The 26498-nt window shown below is 41.4% G+C and overlaps 1 pseudogene, besides 1 other annotated feature; it reads right to left on the bottom strand.

The window, feature by feature from the left end:
• Window positions 1-5064: 5064 nt before the first annotated feature.
• AK6P1 (adenylate kinase 6 pseudogene 1) lies at window positions 5065-24951 on the bottom strand (annotated as a pseudogene).
• Window positions 10410-10610: a silencer, noted in NCBI's record as "peak1675 fragment used in MPRA reporter construct". NCBI's record gives its function as "represses an SCP1 promoter by STARR-seq MPRAs in K562 erythroleukemia cells {active_cell/tissue: K562}" and the evidence as "EXISTENCE:reporter gene assay evidence [ECO:0000049][PMID:32103011]".
• Window positions 24952-26498: the final 1547 nt, after the last annotated feature.

The following is a 26498-nucleotide window of genomic DNA, read 5'->3' as shown; positions in this document are numbered from 1 at the left end:
GTGAAACCCTGTCTCTACTAAAAATACAAAAAGTTAGTCGGGCGTGGTGGCAGGCGCCTATAGTCCCAGCTACTCAGGAGGCTGAGGCAGGAGAATGGCGTGAACCCGGGAGGTGGAGCTTGCTGTGAGCCGAGATCGCGCCACTGCACTCCAGCCTGGGAGACAGAGTGAGACTCCTTCTCAAAAAATAAATAAATAAATAAATAAATAAATAAATAAATAAATAAATAAATAAAAATAAACTTTAGGTCTAAACTGTCACAGGAGACAAAGAAGGATATTACATAATAATAAAAGGGCTCATTCACTGAGAACTTATATAATTTTATTTTATATATGTGTGTGTGTGTATATATATATATAATTCTCACACCAGTGTTTCCAAATGTATAAAGCAAACATTGAAATAATTATTACAATAGACAGACAAATAATAATAGAATACTTTAATTCAAACTTTTAATAATAATTAATAAAGCTAGCCTAAATGTTAATAAGAAAACAGAAGTTTTGAAAACACTAGAGAAAAATTAGACCTAATGGGAATATACAGAATACACAGCAACAGCAAAACACACAATTTTCTCAACAGCTCATAAAACATTCTCCTAGATACACCACCTATTAGGCCACAAAACAAGACTTAACAATTTTTTAAAAATAGAAATCTTAAAGACTATTATTTCTGATCAAAATGGAATAAAACTAGAAATCAATAACAGAAGAAAACAAAAATGTCAACATATATGGAAATTAAACAACACACTTTTGAGCATGCTCATGTTCAAGGGTTGTAAGACTTAATATTGTGAAGATGTTCATACTTCCTAGTGAGCTACAGATTCAATGCAATCGCTTTTCAATTAACAATTTTTTTTTTTTTTTTTTAGAAATAGAAAAAGCAACCAACAAATTATATGGAATCTCAAGGGGCAATAAAGAGCCAAAAAATGTTTAACAAAAGAAATAATGTTAGTGACCTCACCTTTTCTGATTTCAAAGCACATTACAAAGCCACAGTAATAAAAACATTTGGTTCTGGCATAAAGACAGACAAGTTTTCCAATAAAACACAATGTAGCACAGACGCAAACCTTGCACATATGGGCAAATAGTTATTGGAACACCTATATTCACTGAAGCATTATTCACAAAGGCCAATATTTGAAAGCAAAACCAACTTTCCTCACTGAATGAATGAATAAATACAATTTGTAATATTAAAGTAGTGGAAAACTACTCAGCTTTTAAAAGCAGAAAATCTTGTAACATCCACAATAAAGATAAACCCTGAGCACATGATGCTAAGTAAACTTAGCCACAATAAAACATGGGTATTATTAATTTATTTCATGTGTACTGAGTTTTAGTTTTGCAACAGAAAAAAGTTTTACAGATATGTTGCATAACAATGTAAATACACTTAACATGACTAAACTGTACAAGAAAAAATATTTAAGATTCTCACTCTATGTTATGTACTTTTACCACAATTAAAATTAAAAATGACATCTGAGGGCAGGGTGCAGTGGCTCAGGCCTGTAATCCCGGTACTCTGGGAGGCCGAGGCGTGCAGATCACTTGAGGTTAAGAATTCAAGACCAGCCTGGCCCCATCGCTACTAAAAACATACAAATTAGCCAGGCCTGGTGGTACATGTCTTTAATCCCAGCTACTCAGGAGGCTGAAGCAGGAGAATTGCTTTAACCTGGGAGGTGGAGGTTGCAGTGAGTTGAGATTATGCCACTGCCCTTTGGGCGACAGAGCAAGACTCTGTCTTAAAAAATAATAATAATAAAATAAGACACCCAACAGAGATAGAGTTATAAACTTTCTGAAAAATTACCTTCAAACCACAAAATGCTTTCTTTCACACTAAGATAATATAAGATAAAGATGTTGAAATCAGGACAATTTCCATGACTACTCACCTAGACAGAATAAATTACTGGCCTCGAACCAAGAAGAAAAATATACAAATAATAAACAAAATAGTGGTAATATTTATACAAGCAAACAAACACTTAGATAATTATATTGACAAAGGATGTAGGGCTGATTCACAGTTGACTTTTGCCCCACACTGTCTTAAGGTGTACAGAGTTGAATACTGTCATACAAAATTATAATATATAAATTAAAACTAAAAACAGTAAACTAACGTAAGGTGGCCTACCCTAAAATAATGAAACACAGAAATGCAAAATTGCAAAGTTAAAATTAACATTAACTCCCAAAATTCTGATTTGAATAATGTAATTCAAAACCATAATAAATAGGTAGAAACTAGAAACACAACTGATGTGAGGCAGCCTACTCTAAAAAAATACAGAAATATAAAATACAAAACATAAGGAAGAGAAACTTTAACCCATAAAATCCTGAATAAACATAGAAAAGAATTCTAGATAACTACAATTTTGAACTGTAACTGTGCATCCACGAAAAGCATGAATTTTGAATCATTTGGATACAATTACGGCAACATTTCAAAGAAAACACATTATAATTATTCATAAACAGCTTTGATGAGAAAGTTTTTAAAAAAAGCATTTCAGTAATACTAGAGAAACTTTTAAATTATGCTACTGATACATTGAAACATTTCTGCTTTTCTTTTTTTCTTTTCTTTCTTTTTTTTTTTTTCTATTTTTTTTTTCAGACAGAGTTTCACTCTTGTTGCCCAGGCTGGAGTGCAATGGTGCAATCTCGGTTCACCGCAACTTCTGCCTCCTGGGTTCAAGCTATTCTCCTGTCTCAGCCTCCTGAGTAGCTGGGATTACAGGCATGAGCCACCATGCCCAGCTAATTTTGTATTTTTAGTAGAGATAGGGTTTCTTCATGTTGGTCAGGCTGGGCTCAGACTTCCAACCTCAGGTGATGCGCCCACCTCGGCCTCTCAAAGAGCTGGGATTACAGGCTTGAGCCTTCATGCCCAGCCCATTGCTGCTTTTCTTACAAAATGGTAAGGCTGTAATCTAGCCTTTAGAAGAAAAGTCTTCCATTTCTAAATACAATAACTATATATATATTGTAAATACAGTATAAAACATTGATATATAAAATAAAATTGGTTATAAGTTGTACTATTATTCAGGTAAAAGTTGAGGAAACTGGAAGGAAATGCTAATAATAACATTGTGCCTAAAGTAGATGAAACATACAAAACAAATATTTTAATAAATGATATAATTTATATATAACACATACATTTGAGCATGTTATTTTATTTAATTAATTAATTAATTTATTTATTTATTTATTTATTTATTTTGAGATGGAGTCTTGCTCTTTTGCCCAGGCTGGTTGGTGTGCAGTGGCATGATCTTGGCTCACTGCAACCTCCGCCTCACAGGTTCAAGCAATTCTCTTTCCTCAGCCTCCCGAGTAGCTCTGATTACAGGCACATGCCACCACGCCCGGCTAATTTTTTTTTTACTTTTAGTAGAGTTGGGGTTTCATTATGTTGGCCAGGCTGGTCTCAAACTCCTGACCTCGTGGTCCACCCGCCTATGCCTCCCAAAGTGCTGGGATTTCATGCGTGAGCCACCGTGCCAGGCCTTGAGCATGTTATTGTAGAACTTCTGAAACTAAGATTACAGACAAATTACAGACATATGACAATTCAGAAAATGAAAACACAGTCATGGTAATCTTCATGTTAAAGAAGACAGAATCACAAAATAATTGAGAAATAAGTTAATAATTGGGAATTCAATATATGTTCAGCAATATTCTAATTTCCCTTATTGGAAAAGCTTTTTAAGGAATCCATAAAATGAGTACATACAATAAATCACCCTACAGTAGAGACTGTTGGCATATAGAGTTTAAATGTTTAAGATTAGGCATAAAGTTTTTCAGTCAAATTTTTTTGTAGAATTATGTTGTAGAATTATCCTTCATAGGATGTGAAATTATTAAGCAGAAAACATGTGTCATCTGTCTCTGGTGTTCCTGGAATTTTTTTCTTTTTTATTGTATAATCCCATTTATATGAAATATCCAGAATATGCAAATCCATAGAGACAGAAAGTAGACTAGTGACTGCAAAGGGAGGAGGAGGAAAGAATAAAGAGTGACTGCTAAAAGGTATAGGATTTCCCTTTATCATCACTGCTTCCCCCACAGTGGTGACAGTCATACCTTGTTAATAAGCTAAAAACCAATGGATTATAAATTTTATTTATGTTTATTTTTAGAGTCTAAGATCTCACAATGTTGCCCAGGCTGTTCTTGAATTCCTGCCTCAAGCAATTCTCCACCTCAGTCTCCTCAGCTCCTGGGATTACAGGCATAAGCCACCATACCCAGTTCTGATGACTATACACTTCAAAATTGTAACTTTTATTGTGTGGTATGTATATCTCACCTAAAAAATAAAAGAACAGGGAGGTCTGTACTGAGATGATATAATCTCCAAATATATTAAGTAAAAAAAGAAAGGTACAGAATATTGTGTGCAATATACTACTATATTCTTTAAAAAATGTACACACATACATATACACTGTCCAGGCATAAAACCGCTGAAAAGACATATGGGAAACAAATTCCATTATTTCCTAAAGTGAAGGATCCTGGAGTGCCTGGGGATATGGTGGTATGGAAGGGAGATCTAACTTTTCAACATGCTCTTTTGTACCTTTTGAATTTTGTATAGAGTACAACACTTCTCGTATTTCCTAATTTAAAGAAAGAAAAAAGAATACTCTGATGCTTTCTCTTTAGTCTTTAGTTTTATTTTAAGAGATCATCTGCATTTTTTTCTGTAATAAACTTAAAAGATACCCACCCATTTTGTCAGATTTATTTATTCTTTAGCAATTTAAGTATTAAAATTACAGTTTTTGTCTCAATCCTTAATAATATTATATTCATTATATTTCAGATGTTTAGGTTTCTCATGGAGAAAAAGAAACACAGGCATAAACCTATATACTATCCACCTGCTAGTCCTGCAACATGATTTTAATAAAGTGTTACTGATATACTTGAACAATTTCTATGATGTCGGCAGAGTGATATCAACAAGAGTGATTATAAAGTAGCTGGCCTTATAGGTCAAGAGTTATGATCTTTGATCCACTGCTCAATCCATTTCAAGATCTGATCTACATTCTTTTCTTTCTTTCTTTTTTTTTTTTTTTTTTTTTTTTTTTGAGAAGGAGTCTCACTCTGTGGCCCAGGCTGGAGTGCAGTGGCTTGATCTCGGCTCACTGCAAGCTCCGCCTCCTGGTTTTTTGTATTTTTAGTAGAGACGGGGTTTCACCGTGTTAGCCAGGATGGTCTTGATCCCTTGACCTGGTGATCCACCCGCCTCGGCCTCCCAAAGTGCTGGGATTACAGGCGTGAGCCATCGCGCCCAGCCAGTCTGATCTACATTATTTTCTAGCTCTTCTGGTTTATTGCTGGGCAGCTGATGCACGATTTCTTCCTTGTGGGATGTTGTGGCTTCTTCATAGAGAACTTGAAAAATCTCACGCTGAATATTGTCTGTTAGAGTCTTCCAATTATAACCCCTTGTTTCAAGTCTTTTGTACAATACAGTGGTATCTGTTCTCAGCATAAAAACTATATGAAAAAAGTATTTAGGGAAGAAATCACAACCGTGGTAATCAACAATAACTCCATCTTCTCCCGTTTGTTATCTAACTCATCAACTACTCTGTCTTCTTCTAAAATGGGGCAATCATACTCTTCATCATAGCCATCATACAATTTCTCTTCTCAAGATAAATCACCCACATTCATGTATTCCAGTCCTGATATTGATGCAGGTTCTTTGTCTAGTGTGGTTTTTCCAACCCCTGGTGTACCGGTGAGCAGGATGTTCGGAAGCAACGATGGCTTGCCGCGACGTCTCCGAGTGCCTTGCTCACAAGCCCTTTGCACTACTCTGCCTGGAATTTCTAAACCAAATCCCAATGCCTCCCAATCCCTCCACAACTCCCCTCACACACTTCTGACTTGAAGCACCGTAGATTTATTTTTAAAAATGGCATAATAGGCCAGGCACGGTGGCTCACCCCTGTAATCCCAGCACTTTGGGAGGCTGAGGTGGGTGGATCACGAGGTCAGGAGATCAAGACCATCCTGGCTAACTCAGTGAAACACCGTCTCTACCAAAAATACAAAAAAAGAAATTAGCCGGGGGTGGTGGTGGGCGCCTGTAGTCCCAGCTACTTGGGAGGCTGAGGTAGGAGAATGGCGTGAACCCGGGAGGCAGAACTTGCAGTGAGCCGACATCGTGCCACTGCACTCCAGCCTGGGCGACAGTGTGAGACTCCATCTCAAAAAAAAAAAAAAAAAAACAGAAAAAAATAGAAATGGCATAACACAGAGTTCTCCAGAAATGTGCACAGATTTCAGTATATTCCCAAAAGTAATGAAAACTAGTCAGATCATGTACGTTCTTAAAGATTCTGGTAGGACTTTGGTTTTCAGTGTGAATGCACTGGAAGATTCTGGGATGGAGAAAAGAAGCCGTAGAAGATTGAAGAGCATAGTAAGCATGGGACAGGAAAATGTTTCTCTGTGACAGCAAGAAAAATAAAACTAGTCTTTTCCAAAACAATTTCCATTGGAGCAGAGATGACCAAACCACATTTAAACTCTGGCCTTCTCTGTGACTTTGGACCTCTCCCATGTGTTACCTGCTCATTTATTTTCACTTTGCTTTGTATATGGCAGTTGTCTCCTCTTTTCACACTCCAGGAATTTTGTCTTTGCTACAGACTGTCCACCACAGTTTTTTTTTCCTTCCCCCCAACAGTAATTGGGCTCACCAGAAAATGCCCAACTCCCAGCATCTTCCTCAGGAAAGAATTAAAACTGTAGAGTATGTGTTGGAATGTTTGTCTTTTTGAGAGATTGCCTTATGACTAGATTCTCTCTCTCCTGACATGGAGTGCTGAAGGACATGATGGGGTCATACGGATGACAATTGTGTCTGATGAGAAAAAAGATGAATGCTAGTTACAGCACTAGAGAAACTGCAACACCACAGACAGTCAACTGAGGAAGAAAATAGGTAATCAATCTAAAAACAATGAAACTAAATCTCTTTATCTTAGAAATACACACAAATCCAGAGAAGACATATCTGAGAATGGGTCTGTGAAGCACCTAGAATCTATAGCCTTTCTGATTGCTTTCAGTATCCCCCTTTACTAAGCCAGTTTTTGGTTTTGTTTTTTTTTGTTTGTTTGTTTGTTTGTTTGTTTGTTTTGAGACAGAGTTTTGCTCTGTCACCCATGCTGGAGTGCAGTAGCACAATCTCAGCTCACTGCAACCTCCATCTCCTGGGTTCAAGCGATTCTCTCGCCTCAGTCTCCTGAGTGGCTGGGACGACAGGCGCGCACCACAACGCCAGGCTAATTTTTTGTATTTTCAGTAGAGACGGGGTTTCGCCATGTTAGCCAGGCTGGTCTCAAACACCTGGCCTCCAGTAATCTGCCCATCTTGGCCTCCCAAAATGCTGGAATTACAGGCATGAGCTACTGCGCCCAGCCGTGCCAGTCTTTAAATGCTAGATTTGATGGATGTTGTATAAATTTCCAGATCTTATAAAAAAATTACAAGGCATACGGAGAAGGTGGAAAATATGCTTCACTGGAAGAAACAGAATAAATATCCAGAAGTTGAATCTTAAGAAATGAAGATTTTTGCATATCTGATGAAGAATTCAAAATAATTAACTTAAGCGTTCTCAGTGAACAAAAATAAAACAAAAATAGACAATTGAATAACATTTAAAATAATAAATGACCAAAATGTGATATCAACAAAGAGATGAAACCTTTTTCTAAAAACCCAACAGAAATTGTGGAGTTGAAGGATACAATAATTGAGGTTTAAAAATTCACTATGGAGCCACAACAGCAAACAATGGAGCAAAAAAAGAGTCAGCAAATTAAGCATATATTATTCACAAATATTTAGGCCTGGAAACTAATTTTTGAAAAGAATGAGAAAAATAAGGGCAAAATATGAGACTTACTGGACACCATCAAGTAGATCAATATATTCAGAGAAAGAGTCTTATAAAAAGAATATACGAAGAAAATGGCATAAATGTTATTTGGGGGAAAAAGAGGGGATGCTGAGAACTTTACACACTTCAGTGATGAAACAAAACATACTAGCAACCAAGAATAATTGATCTGGGAAAAAACGTACTTCAAAAATTAGAAAAAATAAAGACTTTCAAAGATTAAAATAAAAAATCTAAGGTTGTTTACTACTAGAATAACATTAGAAAAAAATGCTAAAGTGAGTCAACTATGTTGAAACATTAAATGATGCTGGAAAGCATCATAAAACCGTATGAAAATATAAAGCTCTCTGTTAAATGTAAATATATACACAGATATAAAATTTGCTATTGTAATAATAACGGTGCATAAAATTCTTAAATCTCTGTGAAAATACACACAATATAGAGAGATATAATTTGTAACGTTAATAAGAAAGTGGGGGAAGTAAAAATGAATATATTTTGTATGCTGTTAACTTGAAGTTGAAGGCAAAAGCTGCTTGCCCTGGGGACCTTAGCACTGGGCAAGGGAGGAGGCAAAGCTGCCATTTTCTCTCCCTTAGTTCTTCCATCTCCCCCTACTCTGCATAAGGATTTTTCAAAGATTTTTGTACAGAAATATCCTGGGGGAAGGGCAGTAATTTTTCTCTTCAGATGAATGGCAGATAAATTACTCAACCAATATAAAAAAGACAATTTTTCTCTGTGAGGCAAATGCTCTACAGGTTTGCATGTAGCCTACTTTAAAAAGACTGAGGTTTCCTAATCTTGAAGTTGCTCAGCTGTGACACCGATCTTCCCCATGTGCAATGTCCATCTGAGCCTTTTGAAATCCCTCTAAAAAATGTAGTGTGGACAAGGAGAACTAATACAAACATAAAGCTTTTGCCTCCAGTTCTGCAGTCAATCGTAAGTATTTTTGTCATACTTCGGTGTCTTACGCCTTCTACCAGCATCCATGACACTGGAAGATTAATAGGTTAGTTTACAAATAGGATAAAATCTAAGATCCTTCACAGTGATTTAGTTTTGGTGATGAGAGTGGGATGCTGCGATAAACACAACTTTCTGAAAGGGGGAAAGATACAAATACTTGAAGAGCTTGCAAGGGATATGTGAATTTCCCCTAGGACCAACAGCAAATTCTCTCAGCCAAGTGGTTAGTGTGGTGAAACAAGGGCTCTACACTTGCAGTCTGCTAACAAGGCTGATCCATGAGAGGATTAAAACCAAGAGCCTGAGTGCTTCACATGTTCATTTTTCTCCTGCTGAAAGGATCAAGGAGTCCTTAAAGCTAATGTTGAGGCTTGGGTGAGTCCAAACCACTAGAAGTTCATGTGGTTGAACTGTGAGTAGCCAAAAGGCTGCTGAAAGCTACATTAAATGGGTCTTGTTAGTCTCTTCTTTACCCACATGAAGGTGCCCACTCCCGCTGCACTCCAAAATTTTTTCCTTCATCTATAGCCAACTTCAGCAATTTTAAGTATTAAACTACATAAGATTGGAGATTTGGAGGGGGGAAGTCAAGCTTTTATAGTTCTGTTGGATAGAGGTATCTAATTCACTATTCAGTGTAGTCTCCTAGGGTGCACGGGGAGATACATGTGTAAGGGTGGCTGGAAGTGCTGACAAATGTAGGGTTAAGAGTGATTACAAAGTGGTAGAAAGGAAAAAGTTCTTAATCCTGGGTACTCTTGAAATGTAAGGCATCACAGACCTTAGTATAACAAGCCAAGAGAGAAAAATTCTCCCAACCACTCAAATCCTCTTTTTCATGTGAATCACTTCTGGCCCCTCGTGCCCTCATACTCCTGCCTAGGGGATAGTGTCATCCTACTTTAGCCCTTGCCTCAAACAAATACTTAACACAATGGTCTGTGTTTAAACAGAAGAAGCTGAGTAGAGAAAAAAATTTGGGCAAATTCTACATGTGCTTCATGACTCATAAATTACAAACTGTAGGGTGAACATAATAACAATAAGAGTTCTGTAAATACAGATTTGATTTTATTTTTGAGATAGGATCTCACTAACACCCAGGTTGAAGGGCAGTGGTGTCATCTTAGCTTATTGCAACTTCCATCTCCTGGGATCAAGTGATCTTCCGAAGTAGCTGTGACTACGGATGCGCACCACCACACTCGCCTAATTTTTTATTTTGTGTAGAGATGGGGTTTCCCCATGCTGCCCTGGCTAGTCTTGAACTCCTGAGCACAAATGATCTCCCTCCTCATCCTCCAAAAGTTCTAGGATTACAGGAGTGAGCCACCGCGCCTGGCAGAGTTCTGTAAATATACATTTAATGAGCATTATGTGGCAATAGATGTTCTTAGATTTACAGAAATAAATATGTAATTGATACTAAGTACAACCCCAAGGCTCTTTTTAAAAATTCTCTGATTTCTTCTGTGAATTAGGCAAGTCAATTCCTTCAGCTTCATCTGATGATAAAAAGGGACAGACAGTATGAGTCACCAGGCTGCGGGGAGCAGAGAAAAAAGATTGGACTGTAGTTCACTGACCTATTTCTCCTGTGACTGGCACTATTCTGTCTCTCCACAAAGTTCAACAAGTTGTGATTTCTTATAGGCTGTGTCTGAAGTATCCATAAATGTTATTAGGTTCCAGCTGAGCTATGCCTTTGGAATACTTTACTATCTGTTATCTACAGAAGAAAATACATGCAGCTACTTAAGGGCACATTCTCTGCCAAGCACTGTGCTAAGCAGAAGCTTACAGGTGTGAGTTGACTTAATCTTTAGGAAAGCTCAAGGATCAAGGGACTCATTATTCCAGTTTTACACAGGAGGATAAAGTGTTGTCTCATTGTGAGCAGCTGCCTAGAAAGAATAAATAAATAACCAAAGCCACATGGCTGGTAAGTGGTAAACTGGAATCTCAAAAGCAGTCATTTAATCCTATCAATTTGGCTAGCTGAGCAACCCCTTGCCAGTGGTCTAAAAAATACCAGGGAAAGAGAGGGTGGCAATTGTGCATTTGAAAAACAGGTAAAAACCTGGTGTTGATATTCAGAAAAAAGGTATTCGATTATCACAACACTTGACATCCATTTTTAACTTAATGCAGCGCATAAAAGTGTTTACAAAAGTTGCACATGCTTTGGGGATCAACGTTTGGGAGGGATTTACATAGAATATACATTTACCTTAAGAAACATGTGTTCAGCTCCTAGTAACTCTATGTCTATCAAATATATAATTATTACACAAATTAGGTGTTTCAGCTAATAATGAAATTGCTAATTATGTGTTTAATAAATGTTATATTTATTTATAAATTGATACAATTTTAATAAATTTATAAATAAGTTCAATCATTACTCTTCAGTGATCACTAAGAACTGGTTGAATACACCTTAGACCACATAACACGTGTGTGAGTGAGTGTGTGTGTGAGTGTGTAATGTATATTTTGTCTGTTTCTATATACAATGTATATTTTATCTATATATTATAAATAATATACATATAATATATGGCATATATAAAGATAATACACACACACTACATGACTGACAACATGTATTTTATGTGTATATATATATTTTTAAATTAATTTTTTTTTTTCGAGAGGAGTCTCGCACTGTGGCCCAGGCTGGAGTGCAGTGGCATGATCTCAGCTCACTGCTACCTCTGCCTCCCAGGTTGAAGCGATTCTCCTGCCTCAGCCTCCCAAGTAGCTGGGATTACCAGCACCCACCACCATGTCTGGCTAATTTTTGTTTGTATTTTTAGTGGAGACGGAGTTTCAGTATGTTGGCCAAGCTGGTCTCAAACACATGACCTTGTGATCCAGCTGCCTTGGCCTCCCAAAGTGCTGGGATTAAAAGTGTGAGCCACCGCGCCCAGCTTGTATTCTATTTTTATTAGTGTTTAATTTACTGGTGTCCACAAGAAAGAAATAAAATACATTTTACAGGTAAAATCAAAGCACTAGTTATTAATCCCTGCATCTAGTCTTTATTCAGAATGAGGGCTGGTATAATTAAATAACAAGTAAGATTGGTCCGGGCATGGTGGCTCATGCCTGTCATCCAAGCACTTTGGGAGGCCGGCCGAGGTGGGCGGACCACTTGAGGTCAAGAGTTCAAGACCAGCCTGGCCAACATGGCAAAACCCCATCTCTACTAAAAATACAAAGAATTAGCCTGGCATAGTGGCACGTACCTGTAGTCCCAACTACTAGGGAGGCTGTGGTTGGAGAATCGTTTGAACCTGGGAGGCAGAGCTTGCAGTGAGCTGAGCTCATGCCACTGCGCTCCAGCCAGGGTGATAGAGCAAGATCCTATATCAAAAAATAAATAAATAAATAAATAAGTAAAATTACCATAAACATAATTTATTTTTTGTATATTTCTCTATTGTTTTTCCCATCAGGTTTAAATCTTTATTTAGAAACTTTTGCCTTTTTAAAGATCTGTTCCACACTGTTCACCCAAACTCTCACTGCCAAAACCTTAGCTTTGTGAAGTTTTTTATTTTAGCCCTGACTCCTGAATAGTACCTCTGAACCAACCTAGGGCCTAAAGAAACTTGCTAAACTGACATGAGTAATTGAGGCCTGGCTGACTTTTTCACCTGCTGATTATAGATCCATAGCATCTTGAGTGAACATAGACAATAACCAGGAAGCTGTGATGTCAGGCCTTGGGTGAGATCAAGCACTCTGTTGGATTCAGGTCTGACCCAGTGCAGTCATAGTGGTCATGGCCACAGAGATGTTTGTGTCACTCCACTTCATTTTCATGTGTCTCAGGACACACACACACATGCACACACACACACAGACTCCATTTGTTTGGGAGAAGGTAAAAGAAGAAAAGAAGAGTCTCTGCTAGATAATTCAGAAAATTCTCCAAGACCATGTTGTCCAAGACCATCAAGGTAGTACCTCTGTGAGCCTGCAAGAACCACAGTGTTACTGGGCTTGAGATGTCCCCTAAAGTAGAAAGAGCTTAGATCACAACACCCAAGTCCTTTCAAATATCTCTAAAGCCTTCTCAGGAACAATGGCTACAAACAAGTCCAGGCAGTGTTGACTACAATAAATATCAAAATCTTCAATGGCGAGACACCCACAAAGATCTACTGGCATCAGCAAATCATTAAAAGAAATACTTAACCAAATGAACCAAAAAAGGAACCAGGGACCAATCCTGGAGAAACAGAAACGTGTCATTTTTCTGAAAGAGAATTCTAAATAGCTGTATTAGGGAAACAAAGAAATTCAAAATAACAAAAAGAAATTCAAAATTCTATCAGATACCTTTAACAAGCAGATTAAAATAGTTGTATTTATTTATTTACCTCTTTATTTATTTAGACAGAGTTTCATTCTTTTTGCCCAGGCTGGAGTTCAGTGGCACGATCTCAGCTCACTGCAACCTCCTCCTCACGACTTCCAGTAATTCTCCTGCCTCATCCTCCAGAGTAGCTGGGATTACAGGCGCCCTCCACCACACTTGCCTAATTTTGTGTTTGTAATAGAGATGGGGTTTCATCATGTTGACCAGGCTGTTTTCAAACTCCTGACCTCTGGTGATCCACCCATCTCAGCCTCCCAAAGTGCTGAGATTACAGGCGTGAGCCACCGCAGCCAGCCTATTGTTTGCTTTTCTTGCTTCCTTTGTTTCTTTAACAAGAATGGACACTTCTACCTGGGTTTTAAAAATTGTGTAAAAGAAAAATAAATTTTGGGGCTTCCAAAACACTAAGCTAAAGGGAAAACTCAAGATGGGAACTGCTTAGGGCCATTCTGCCTCCCATTCTATTCAAAGTCACTCCTCTGCTCACCGAGATAAATGCATATTTAATTTTCTCCTTTGGAGAGGCTAATCAGAAACTCAAAAGAATGCACCCATTTGTCTCTCAACTACCTATGAGCCGAAAGTCCCCTCCTTGCTTTGAGAATTCCCGCCTTTGCTTCAAGTTGTCCCGCCTTTGCAGACTGAACCAATGTTCATCTTGCACACATTGATTGATGTCTCCGGTGTTCCTAGAATGTATGAAACCAAACTGTGCTCTGATGACCTTAGGCACACGTCCTCAGAACCTCCTGAGGCTGTGTCATGGGTGTGTGTCCTCAACCTTGGCCAAATAAATTTTCTAAATTCACTGAGACCTGTCCCAAGTTATCAGGGTTCACAATGGATGGTGCATTGTAGCTCCACCCCAGGACTTCTCATTAACAAGAACTATCCGGAATCTCTCCAGATGCAGTGAAACCAGGTATATGTAAACTGTATGAAACTTAATGGTACTTACTAGAAGTATATGAATGAATGTTAAGGAAAAACCACTAACCGCCCACCTTTCAAAGAAACAATAACACTGTGAATTCTGTGTCATTTCCAGAGTCAGCTTGTTTCCTGAATCGTCCCCACTAAACTTGAAAACATTCCAGAGTGAGCTATTGTCCCTCCAGACTTTGGCCCTCCCACTTCTGTCCCCTGTGCCTCCACTCAACCCTTACATGGATCACATTCTCTGATTCTGCAAAAGCAGGTGGAAGCCCTGAAGATAGTTATTTTTTTCTTTTTCTTTTTCTTTCTTTCTTTTTTTGAGATGGGGTCTTGCTCGGTCACCCAGGCTGGAGTGCAATGGCATGATCTCTGCTCACTGCAGCCTCCTCCTCCCAGGTTCCAGCTATTCTCCTGCCTCAGTCCACCGAGTATCTGGGATTACAGGAATGTGCCATGACACTCAGCCAATTGTTGTATTTTTAGTAGAGACAGGGTTTCACCATTTTGGCCAGGCTGGTTTCAGGTGATCCACCCATCTCGGCCTCCCAAAGTGCTGGGATTACAGGCATGAGCCACCGCGCCTGGCCAGAGAACAATGATTTTTAAATGATTTTTTTGAGTCATGAACTCCCTGAGAATATTATAGAAGTTAGGAGCTCTCTCTTGAGTAAAATGCACACACACATACAGAATGTTCCCAGAGCCTCTGAAGCCCCACCATGCATCCCTGGCTGAGAATCCCTGGTCTATAGAATATGTTCTTCTTATAGTGCTATTCATCACAAAACAAGTTGCCCCATCATGACCTGATGTTGAAATGCACATTTGAAATCTTGCAGTCACATAACCTCAAGGGTTTGGTCAAGAAACACAGACTCCTCCCACAGCAATGTGGCAAAAACTTTGGATAGTATGCCAGGGCTTCCTTCTGGACTGTTTATGATTTCTCCATACTCTTGAGCACGTACACAACAATCTGAGAAGCTAAAGGCACAGAAGCTGGTCTTAATCTGAGCAAATCAACAGCTTTCAGAAGCTGCAGAGAAATGAAGCATCAGAGAAAGTGAAAAATTGTCCCTAATGATAGCTCAAAAAATAGGGCTGATTAGGCAAACTGTGTATCCCTGAGTTTCAGTGGATCCCAGTTGTCATGGATCACCAATCACTGTTACCAACCTCCTAGGAGCATCCTGCTCACCTGTTTGGCAGTCAAACTCAATAGAACAGACTTTAGAGTGAGGCAGGCCTGGATTTAAGTGCTGGCTTTCTTTGCTGTATAAATTTGCTGAGGCTGCTTAGCTTCTCTGAACCTTGGTTACCTCATCTGTAAAATGGGAATAACAAGAGAATCTACCTCATAGGATTATTGTGAACATTAAATGAAATAGGGCATGTAAAGTGCTCAGCACCCTACTCAGCAAGGGGGAAGTACTCAGTAATATGGCTGTTACTATTGACAGTAGCAGAGGGCAATAACAGCATAACTCCGGAGTTAGGAAAACTCGATTCCAGGTCAGACGTGGTGACTCACGCCTGTAATCCCAGCACTTTGGGAGGCCAAGGCAGGCGGATCACTTGAACCCAGGAGTTCAAGACCAGCTAGGACAACATAGTGAAACCCTGTGTCTACAAAAAATACAAAAATTAGCCAGGTGTGGTGGTGCAGGCCTGTGGTTCCAGCTACTCAGGAGGCTGAGGTGGGAGGATCGCTTGAGCCGAAGAGGTTGAAGCTAAAGTGAGCTGTGATTGCACCATTGCGCTCCAGCCTGGGCGATGTGGCAAGGCCCTGTCCCCAAAACAAAAAATAAACAACAAAAAACCCTTGATTCTAGATTTTGACTTCACCAATTACTTGCCGGTTTAACTTTGTGCAGGTTACTGAACTCTCCCATTTTTAGTTTCCTCAACTGAAGCACAGGGTTAATCCTTACTTCAAAGTGTAGTTCAGCCAGGCGCAGTGGCTCCTTCCCGTAATCCCAGCGCTTTTGGAGGCCAAGGTGGGTGGATCACTTGAGGTCAGGAGTTCAAGACCAGCCTGGCCAACATGGTGAAACCCTGTCTCTACTAAAATTACAAAAATTAGCCGGGTGTGGTGGTGCATGCCTGTAGTCCCAGCTACTTGGGAGGCTGAAGCAGGAGAATTGCTTGAACCTGGGAGGCAGAGGTTGCAGTGAGCTAAGACAGCACTGCTGCACTCCCGTCCAGGTGACACAGTGAGACTCCATCTCTAAAAACACTTCCCCAATAACCAAAGTGAAGTTCAATGAGCTAATAATGCATGTAATATATGTGCTTAGACATGCCTGGTACATATTAAACACTCAGAAAATAGTGACAATAAAGAAGATGATGATGCTAATAATAGTTAATACTTACAAAGTTCTTACTAAATGTCAGGAACTGTTCTAAGCACTTTACATGTATTTTTTTTATTTAGTTGTCATAACCAATACGGTAAGTCCAATTATAATCTTTGGATGAGGCCTGCAAAACTCAAATAAATTGTCCCAGATCACAGAGCTGGTAAAGATTTTTTTTGGTAGGGTCTTGCTCTGTTGCCCAGGCTGGAGTGCAGTGGCATGATCACAGCTCATCACAACCTCAACCTCCTGGGATCAAGTGATCCTTCTGCCTCAGCCTCCTCAGTAGCTGGTACTACAGGTGTGTGCCACCATGCCCAGCTAATTTTTAGATTTTTTTTTTGTGAGATTGTGTCTTGCTATGTTGCTCAGACTGGTCTCAAACTTCTGAGCTCGAGTGATCCTCCCACCTTGGCCTCCTAAAGTGCTGGGATTACAAATGTGAGCCAACATGCCTGACAAAATTTCAACCTAGATAGAGCTTGAGACCGTGCCCTAAACCACTGTTTTGCTGAGAATAATGTGTCAAAATCAGCACTGTAAATCAGAGATTCAAGATCACTTCACTAAGGTTTGAGAGACTTCCCATTTCTGGCTGGAGCTCCCCTCCCTGCCCCATCAGCTTTCATGGCTTGCGGAGGCACCGCTATCCAAAAACAGGTGCACTGCTAGGGCCACATGCTGTTCTAAGAGAACCAAGACAGCCTTCTCCAAATTCTTCTAGATGTGCCGTTAGTCTCAGTTAGCCAATGATCACTGACTGCTCTAATATGAGAGAGACAGCCCTTCTGCCTGACCACACCAAGAGAAAACATTCAGGGTTTGCTTGATTTCATGAGGGGAACTTATTGGAGTGGAAGAATGTTCTTTGCAGGCTTGTTTTGCAACTTCCCAGCTCGTGCAGGCTCCAGTGACAATGGTGTGATTAGGGAGCCCAGACTAATGGAAGACCCAGGGCCTCCTGCTCTCCTCCAAAAGTCGCAAGGCTCCCATTGTCACGGCTCACAGGAAACCAAGAAGAGCACCAGGGACAGGTGGCAGACATGCCAACATCGTGAAAAGGATGGGTAATTGAACATAGCTAGGTTACATTAATCACCCAGGGTCAGAGAACAGAACCAGGAAAGGAGAGAGGGAAGAAATCACTCTAGTCTTTCTGGTCAGTTGGCACAGGAGCAGTGGCACAAAATGGTTTTATGTGGGGGATTTAGCTCACATAATCTCATCATGGCACCCCCTCCTTGCAAACTGCCCCAAATAAACAATCTAAATTCAAGGCCAGCCCCAGCCTCACATCTGATGAGATTGCTGCCTTGAGCTCCTCCTTTATAGAAATGCTGGCAACACCATGGCTGCTCAGCCACCTATAGTTTAGGGGGAACATAGAGGCTTGCATTTGCACTGCAAATGCACTGATTCAGAGGCAGGGAGCCCTGAAGCCCAGGGACAGTCTCCTAGATCTAACTATCTGCAGGGATTAACTGTCATTATCACCTCTGGGATGTGTGTTCTGCAGACCCTGCTTTCTATTTGGCCCTGCCCAGAGGATTGATTTCAGCAACTATAAATTTGGAGGGAGCTGTCAGTCTTGGAAAAGATTCTGGAATGGAGACCTGAAAGCAAGGAGGAAACACGTTTCCCAGGAACCAAATACAAATATGTTCAAATACAAATCATGTCTGACCACTCCCTAGGCTCCTCTGAGTGGGTTACAAGACTATAGGCTCGGGGAGCTTCAGGAGATATGCACCATCAGGCTTCAGTGAACAGAATCTGTAGGGAATTGCCACATGGCCTCTGACCTTGCATATGATCTAGGTGAAGATACATATTTTTCTCACAATATGACAGATGGCATGAAGCTAGGAGGCAGATACACTTGGGATGACAGAATCAGGAATCCAAAAGATAGTGTAAAATAAGGGTAAAGTGCTGACTAAAAGATGAAATTTATGAATAGCAGGAACAGATATGGTCTTGCACTTTGGTCAATAACATAACAAATAAAACCAACCAAAGGACCCTCCACAGGTTTAGACTCTTGTCACTGTTACCCTCAGCACAAAACATAATCTTGTGAGGTCCCACTTCCTCACTTGTAAAACTAGGATAATAATAGCCCCTACATTATAAAGTTGTTGTGAGAAATAAATCAGTTAATGTAGGCAAAGTACTTACTTAACATGGTGATGATGATGATGATGGTGATGGTGATGATGGTGGTGGTGGTGATAGTGATGGTGGTGATGGTGATGGATGATGGTGATGGTGCTGATGATTACGGTGATGGTGATGATGGTGGTTATGTTGATGATGGTGTTGGTATGATGATGTGGTGACAGTGATGGTAATGATGGTGATGATGATAGTGATGATGATGGTGGTGATGGTGATGGTGATGATGGTGGTGATAGTGATGGTGATGACTGGTGATGGTGATGATGGTGGTGATAGTGATGGTGATGATGGTGATGGTGGTATGATGTTGATAGTGATGGTAGTGATGGTGATGGTAATAATGGTTGTAGTGATGATGGTGATAGTGATGATGATGGTGATAGCGATGGTGATGATGGCGGTGATAGTGATGGTGATGATGATGTTGATGATAGCGATGGCGATGATGGTGATGGTGATGGTGGTGATGATGGTGATAGATAACACATGGTGCCAATCATAGTGCTTCCCACTAGGCAGTCTCATTCCAGAGCCTATGTTCTTAGCCATCTTGCTATACTAATTCTCATAATTGTTAAGTATAATTATTATAATCATTACTGACTAGGAAGAAATGTAGCTGATCCACAGCATGTGTAAAAATGACTTTAAGGATGATGGCTGACAGCAAGTTCAACACGAGTCACATAAAGGCTCTCTGTAATGAGGTGGTGACAGTCCCAAGCTACTTTTTGCAGCATGGGTATCACAAAAGGAGAGGCCTAAAGACACACAGAGCAGGATCAGAAGGAAATGACTACGGCTGGGTGCAGTGGCTCATGCTTGTAATCCCAGCACTTTGGGAGGCTGAGGCAGGTGGATCATCTGAAGTCAAAAGTTCGAGCCCAGCCTGATGAACATGGTGAATCCCCATCTCTACCAAAAATACAAAAATTATCTGGGTGTGGTGGTGTGCACCTGTAATCCCAGCTACTTGGGAGGCTGAGGCAGGGGAGTTACTTGAACCTGGGAGGCGGAGGTTGCAGTAAGCCGAGATCACACCATTGCACTCCAGCCTGAGTGACAAGAGTGAAACTCCGTCTCAAAAAAAAAATAAAAATAAAAATAAAAAAGAAGGAAATGACCAGAATGACCAAACCATAGCATAAGAAGAATAGCCAAGACCAGATATTGTGGCTTACGCCTGTAATCTCAGCATGTTGGGAGCCTGAGGCAGGAGGTTCACTTAAGCCCAGGAGTTTGAGACCAGCCTGGCAACATGGTGAGACCCTGTGTCTAAAAAAACTTAAAAAATAATAGCCAGAGGACCTGGCATGTTTTGCCTGAAGAAAATACTTGGGGGACATGCCAGCCACTTTCTAAGGCCTTAAACCTGCTTCATAGGATCCAAGGCCCAGAAGTAGATCAGGTGAAGGTAGGCCCTAGGTAGACAGATCTCAGCTCAATACAGGAAGGCCTTTGTGATGTGTTGATCCAAGATGAACAGGAAGCATCCTGTCCCAGAAGCATCCGGGTGCTGGCAGAATCGAGAAGTCTGGGACTCAAACACTGCATAGGGGAGTAGCTATTTTAGAGGCTCTAAATAGCTCTTCCAAGTGTGGAACTAGGACCATCTGATGACCACATGCATCACCTGGGGGCTTGTTAGATACATACATCCAGAGACTCCACCCCAACAACTGAGTCTGAATCTGCATTTTCACAAGTTGCCCAGCTGATCTGTGTGTACATGAATGCTGACAAGCACTGATGTGGAGATCATCTGAGGAAGACCCAGGTTCAGGTGGGCTGCTGCTCTGAAAAGCAAGAGTGGGGAGAAACGCTGGGGCAAGGAAGAGCAGGTGGTGCTAGAGTCTGGTCTCTATGGGGATGGCCCAGCTGTGCTTCCAGCCCAGCTGCTCGAATTATGTCTGTTTTTTTATCTAGTCAGGTTCAGAAGAGTCATTCAAATTTGCATAAGGAGGCCTGAGGTAAAGGGGCTCATGGGCACAGGTATTCATCTGACACCTCATTAGGCCATCTTGGTAAATCATCTCTAGAATGCCTGTTGTTATTTTAGGAAACAACATAAAGAGGATGATAATTAAAAGTACCCTGAGTGGGAATTTCTACTTCCTTCCAGTGGTTGGCAAGTAAAGCACCTTGGGAATTTTTGGGTAAATTAATGTTTCCATACATTTTCACAGATAACACAACATCAAACTTGTCTATGCTGCAGGTTGTTTTCTCTTTCCTGTGCTGGTGATTTGGGTTTGCAGCTTTATTCTATTGCTGGTTTTTTGTCTTCTGTTTTTTTGTTGTTGTTGTTGTTGTTGTTGTTTGTTTTTTTTCCTTTGCACTAAGCATTTTCTGATTTTACTTTGACTTTCAACAGGGGAGGGTATTGCTTCTGGATGTTACATGACATCCAAAGCATAAAATGGTAAACGAAGCTGAAGATCGTTTTCAGTTGAAAAGGCAATTTTATGCTTCATGGTTAGAACCATGTAAGGCATTTTTATGGCGCGGTATTTTTCATCTTAGATCTCCATCGGGATGGCATCCGGGGATTTGCTGTCTAGTAGAAAGTTCACCTTTCAGTTACCCACTGCCTGTCTGCAGCCTCCTAGCCTTGCTGCTCTCCTGCACATGCGCAAGGGCATTCCTGTTAGACCTGCTCCCCTCCTGGGACTGGTGTTGCCATATTCCCCTGGTTTTCAGGGCCCCTTGCCATGCATCTTTCCTGTCCCTCACAATCCTCATTGCCTACCTGCAAGACCCACTGTCTAGGACCTGAGCCCCTTAGTAACACTCCTTGATCTACCTTACACCCTGTCCTCCTGCTCTTCCTCTCTGATAAAACCCTAACTTGGGGTCATCCCACCATCTGCCTTCTCTGCTCCTGACTCCACCCTGCTGAGAGAGGAGAAAGTTCACAGAAGCACCTGCTGAGGCCACCACAGTTTCAAGGTCTCAAGCCTTTCCTAGATTCTTGTGCTGTCTGACAACAATTTTACTTATCCTAAATCAGCACCTCTCCTCAAAAAAAAAAAAACAAAAAAACACCTTTTATTTGACCCTACTTCCCTGCCTCACAGAGGAGCCTTCTCTTTGCCACAACTTGTTGACAGCTCTTTCAATACCAGTCCGTTTTGTTAACTCACTGAGGCAGCTTTTAGGATGCTAGAACAGATTCCATGGCCCTGTGCTAAAGCAAATGAATTTGAATCTGTCAGGTGGAGCCCAGCGTTCTTTTTTATTTACTTTTATTATTTTTTTTAGAGACAGGGTCTTGCTCTATCACCCAGGCTGGAGTTCAGTGGCATGATCATAGCTCACTGTAGCCCCTCACTCTCTGGGCTCAAGAGATCCTGCTGCCTCAGCCTCCTGAGCAGCTGGCACTACAGGTGCAAGCCACCATGCCGGGCTATTTTATTTTATTTTATTTTATTTTTGATACAGAGTCTTGCTCTGTTGCCTATGCTGGAGTGCAGTGATACGATCTCGGCTCACTGCAACCTCCACCTCCCAGGTTCAAGGGATTACCCTGCCTTAGCCTACTGAGCAGCTGGGAGGCGTGTGCTACTACAGCCGGCTATTTTTTTTATTTTTAGTAGAAACAGGGTTTCACCGTTTTGGCCAGGCTGGTCTCGAACTCCTGACTTCAAGTGATCCACCCACCTTGGCCTCCCAAATTGCTGGGATTATAGGCATGAGCCACTGCACCCGGCCGCTAATTTTTTATTTTATATATTTTTTGTAGACATGGGGTCTTGCTGTGTCCTGAACTCCCGGCCTCAAGAGATCCTTCTGACTCAGATTCCCAAAGGACTGGGATTCTAGGCGCAAGGCACTGTGCCTGGCAGGGTTTCATATTCAAAAAAGCTGCATAGTTAGGAACCAGTTATTGGTCTATATCCCTGAGTTTTTCCTCGCTTTTTGTCTTCTCAAACGGTTACAGTCTGGCTTCTGCCTTGACCACTCTGTTAAATACTTCATCAGGTTCAGGACAACAACCACCACACCCATGCAGGTTCCCAGGTCTCCTGCCACTTGACCTCCCTGGAGTATTGACACTGTTGGTCACTCCAAGACTTCCAGACACCTCTTCTCTTTCTTTGCCTTCTACCCCTGGCCATCTCCCTTGGCACGTTAAGGTAGACCCTTCTTGGACCTTAAATGTTGGTAATTGGTTACTACAGTTTCCCAGGGTTGAATCCTCAGACCACTTTTCTCCTGAAACTACAATTCCTCCCTGGAAAATCCATGTGGCTTAATCTACAAAGTACACGCTGAAGTATGTCTCCCAGCTCTCATTTCTCTAACGTCACATTCATGGGTCCAACTGCTGGAGATGTAAGGTGCCTGTGGGGTATACATCTCCTCTGTTCACCCCACAGGCACCCTAACCTCAAATATTTCAAGATCAAATCCACAGTTCTCCCAGCCCCCAGCCCCATGCCAACTCCCCCTCCTCCCCTACTCACGACTCGCTGAACATCCCCATCTCTACTGCCCAGCAGCTGCCCTAGAGTCCCGGGGTCATCGCACAGCCTTCTGCTTCTTCATCAATGCATTCAGTTCAGGCCCCCTGTTTTTTACCTCCTAAATATGATTAAACTGCCTTCTTCCACCTGACCCTTAGTTTGGGTCTCATCTCTTGCTTGGACTATTAAAATAGCAACCCCCCACCCCCCCTACTTTTTTTTTTTAAAGAGATGGAGTCTCACTATGTTGCCCAGACTGGACTTGAATTCCTAGATTAAAGTGATCCTCCCGCCTCTGTCTCCCGAGTAGCTGGGCTACAGGTACACACCATTGTGCCTGGCTCCAACAACAGCTTCCAAAATGGTCTCTGTCTCCATTCAAGTCTCACCACAACAATTGTTTGGGTGATATTTGTTTTTGAAACACGATCTCCCTCTGTCACCCAGGCTGGATCAAAGTTCACTATAAACTCCACCTCCCTGGTCAAGGGATCCTCCCACCTCAGACTCCTCCAGAGTAGCTGAGACTACAGGTGCAGGCCACCACACCTGGGTAATTTTTTTTTTTTTTTTTTGTAGAGATGAGGTCTTGGTATGTTGCCCAGGCTGGCCTTGAACTCCTGGGCTCAAGCAGTCTGCCTGCCTCGACCTCCCAAAGTTCTGGGATTACAGGTGTGAGCCACCACGCCCAATCTGGGGCAATATTTCTAAAATGCCAATCTTGCCACGTCAGTCCCCAGCTTCAAATGCTTGAAGGCCCTCCATGATCTAAAGTTAAAATTCCAGCCAGAGACGGTGGCTCACATCTGTAATCCAAGCACTTTGGGAGGCCGAGGCGGGTGGATCATCTGAGGTCAGGAGTTCAAGACCAGCCTGGCCAACATAGTGAAACCCTGAATCTACTAAAAATACAAAAATTAGCCAGGCATGGTGGCATGTGCCTGTAATTCCAGCTACTCAGGAGGCTGAGGCAGGAGAATAGTTTGAACCCGGGAGAGGGAGGTTGCAGTGAGCCGAGATCACGAGATCGCCCCACTGTACTCCAGCTTGGGCAACAGAGCGAGACTTCATCAAAAATAAAAAATAAAAAAATCCCAGCTCTTCATCATGGCCCAGAAAGCCAATCACGACTGTACCCAACTGCAGGGCTGGGCAGATGAGGTGCCTAGGATGCAAAATTAAGGAGACACACACTCTCAGTTGCTGACCCTGCATGTGCACGACCCTGAGACTGAGTGTTGCCTTAAATTTTGCACCCTAGTCCTCACCCTGCCCATCTGCTTCTTGGCTTAACAGTCATCCCAACTCCTGCATTCTGTGCTTTGGTACTCTCACTCTCCTTGTGGCTAGTTCCTCACAGACACTGAGAAGCTTCTCACAGCTCAGGACTCTCTTTGGAAGCCTCGTTCTACCCTGGCCTCTATGCTCCTTCAGTCCCATGGGCATTATCTCTACAACTGCTCTGACCACATTAGGTTCTCCCCATCCCTCTGAACTTCTCAAGGGCAGACACTGTTCCATCCTCTCTCTCTCTCAGGCAGCATGTAGCAGTCATTAGGTGCTCTATAAATGTTAGCTGAACTGAACACAAATCTGCTCTGGGAACTCACATGAGTTAACTTCGGGTTCATTGCCCAAGGCCCACATTCCCACTAAACCCCTTCAGAATGCAGTGACCACTAAGGATGGCTATGCATCAGGAATGAACAAGAGCCAACCCCTGTCCAGACCCAGGCTGGAGGAAGGGTAGATTGAACCATCAGCTCTCCAAGAATGGTGGCTAGAACTCTAGCAAATAACTCCCCTTCTGACAAATTCACTGACTGTTAGCCTGCAATTTTCACAGAAATTACACATTGCCTGGCCAAGTGCTAAATTTTGAGCTTTCTTCCTGCCAAGTTTCTACCATGCTGGTTCATGTTTGCCAGTCTTGTAGTGGTAATGTGTTTTCCAGTGGGGAACATGAGTAGCTTCAGGAGTTATTCTGGAAGCTCATGAAGTGGATCTTGAGCCATTTTATAGGAAGGATTCAGTAACGTGCCCTCCTAAAGAATACCATTGCTACCAAGAGAAGTCCTTGGAGATTTTGCATTAAACCTTGAATACTATCTAGGAGGGACTTATCATACAGTAAACAGCTCTGGGGTAAACACATTTCATAAAGTCCAACGTCATGAGTTTAACTTTTTTACTGTTATCCAAATACTTTCTTCCCTGTAGCCTTACTTTTTTTTTTTTTTTGATAGGGTCTTGCTGTGTCACCCAGGCTGAGTGCAGAGGCACAATCATAGCTCAATACAGCCTTGAACTGGGTTCAAGCAATCCTCTGCCTCAGCCTCATAAGTGGCTGGCACTATAGGTGAATGCCACTGGGCCCAACTAATGTTTTTATTTTTTATTTTTTTGTAATAGAAATGGGGTCTCTCTACATTTCTCAGGTTCTTGAACTCCTGGACTTAATCAATCCTCCTGCCTTAGCCTCTCAAAGCTCTGGGATTCAAGGCGTGAACCACTGTGCCCAGCATCAAAATTTTTTTTAGGCATGCTGGGGCATGCCTGTGATCCTAGCTACTCAGGAGGCTGAGGTGGGATGACCTGAGGAGTGAGACCATGTCTCTAAAAAAATCAATAAATAAAATAATAAAAAGAGAGTACATAGTAGGGCAACGATAGACTGCCATTACCTTGAAAGAGAAAAAAGATAAGAAAACCCCCTATGTGGGCCAAGGTGATGCAGCCAGCTGACACAGGATTTTACATAGAATTTTATTTATTTATTTATTTATTTATTTATTTATTTATTTATTTATTTATTTATTTTTTGGGACAGAGTTTCTCTTTGTCTCCCAGGCTGGAGTGCAGTGGCATGATTTCAGCTCACTGCAACCTCTTCCTGCAGGGTTCAAGCAATTCTTGTGTCTCAACCTCCTGAGTAGCTGGGACTACAGGCACGCACCACCACACCAGGCTGATTATTTTGTATTTTAATAGAGATGGGGTTTTACCATGTTGCCCAGGCTGGTCTCGAACTCCTGAGCTCAGGCAATCTGCCTGTCTTGGCCTCCCAAAGTGCTAGCATTACAGGCGTGAGACACCGCGCCCGGCCTTGGATTTTACATAGAATTTAAAGAGCTCATGATCCCCTTGAAGTTCTTTCATCATCTTCCCAGACATACAAGAAGGCTATTTAAGAA

The sequence above is a fragment of the Homo sapiens genome, chromosome 12 (assembly GCF_000001405.40).
Source record: "Homo sapiens chromosome 12, GRCh38.p14 Primary Assembly".
Lineage (NCBI taxonomy): Eukaryota > Metazoa > Chordata > Mammalia > Primates > Hominidae > Homo > Homo sapiens.
The sequence above is the reverse complement of the archived record's forward strand: the minus strand, read 5'-3'. Positions and strand labels throughout refer to the sequence as shown.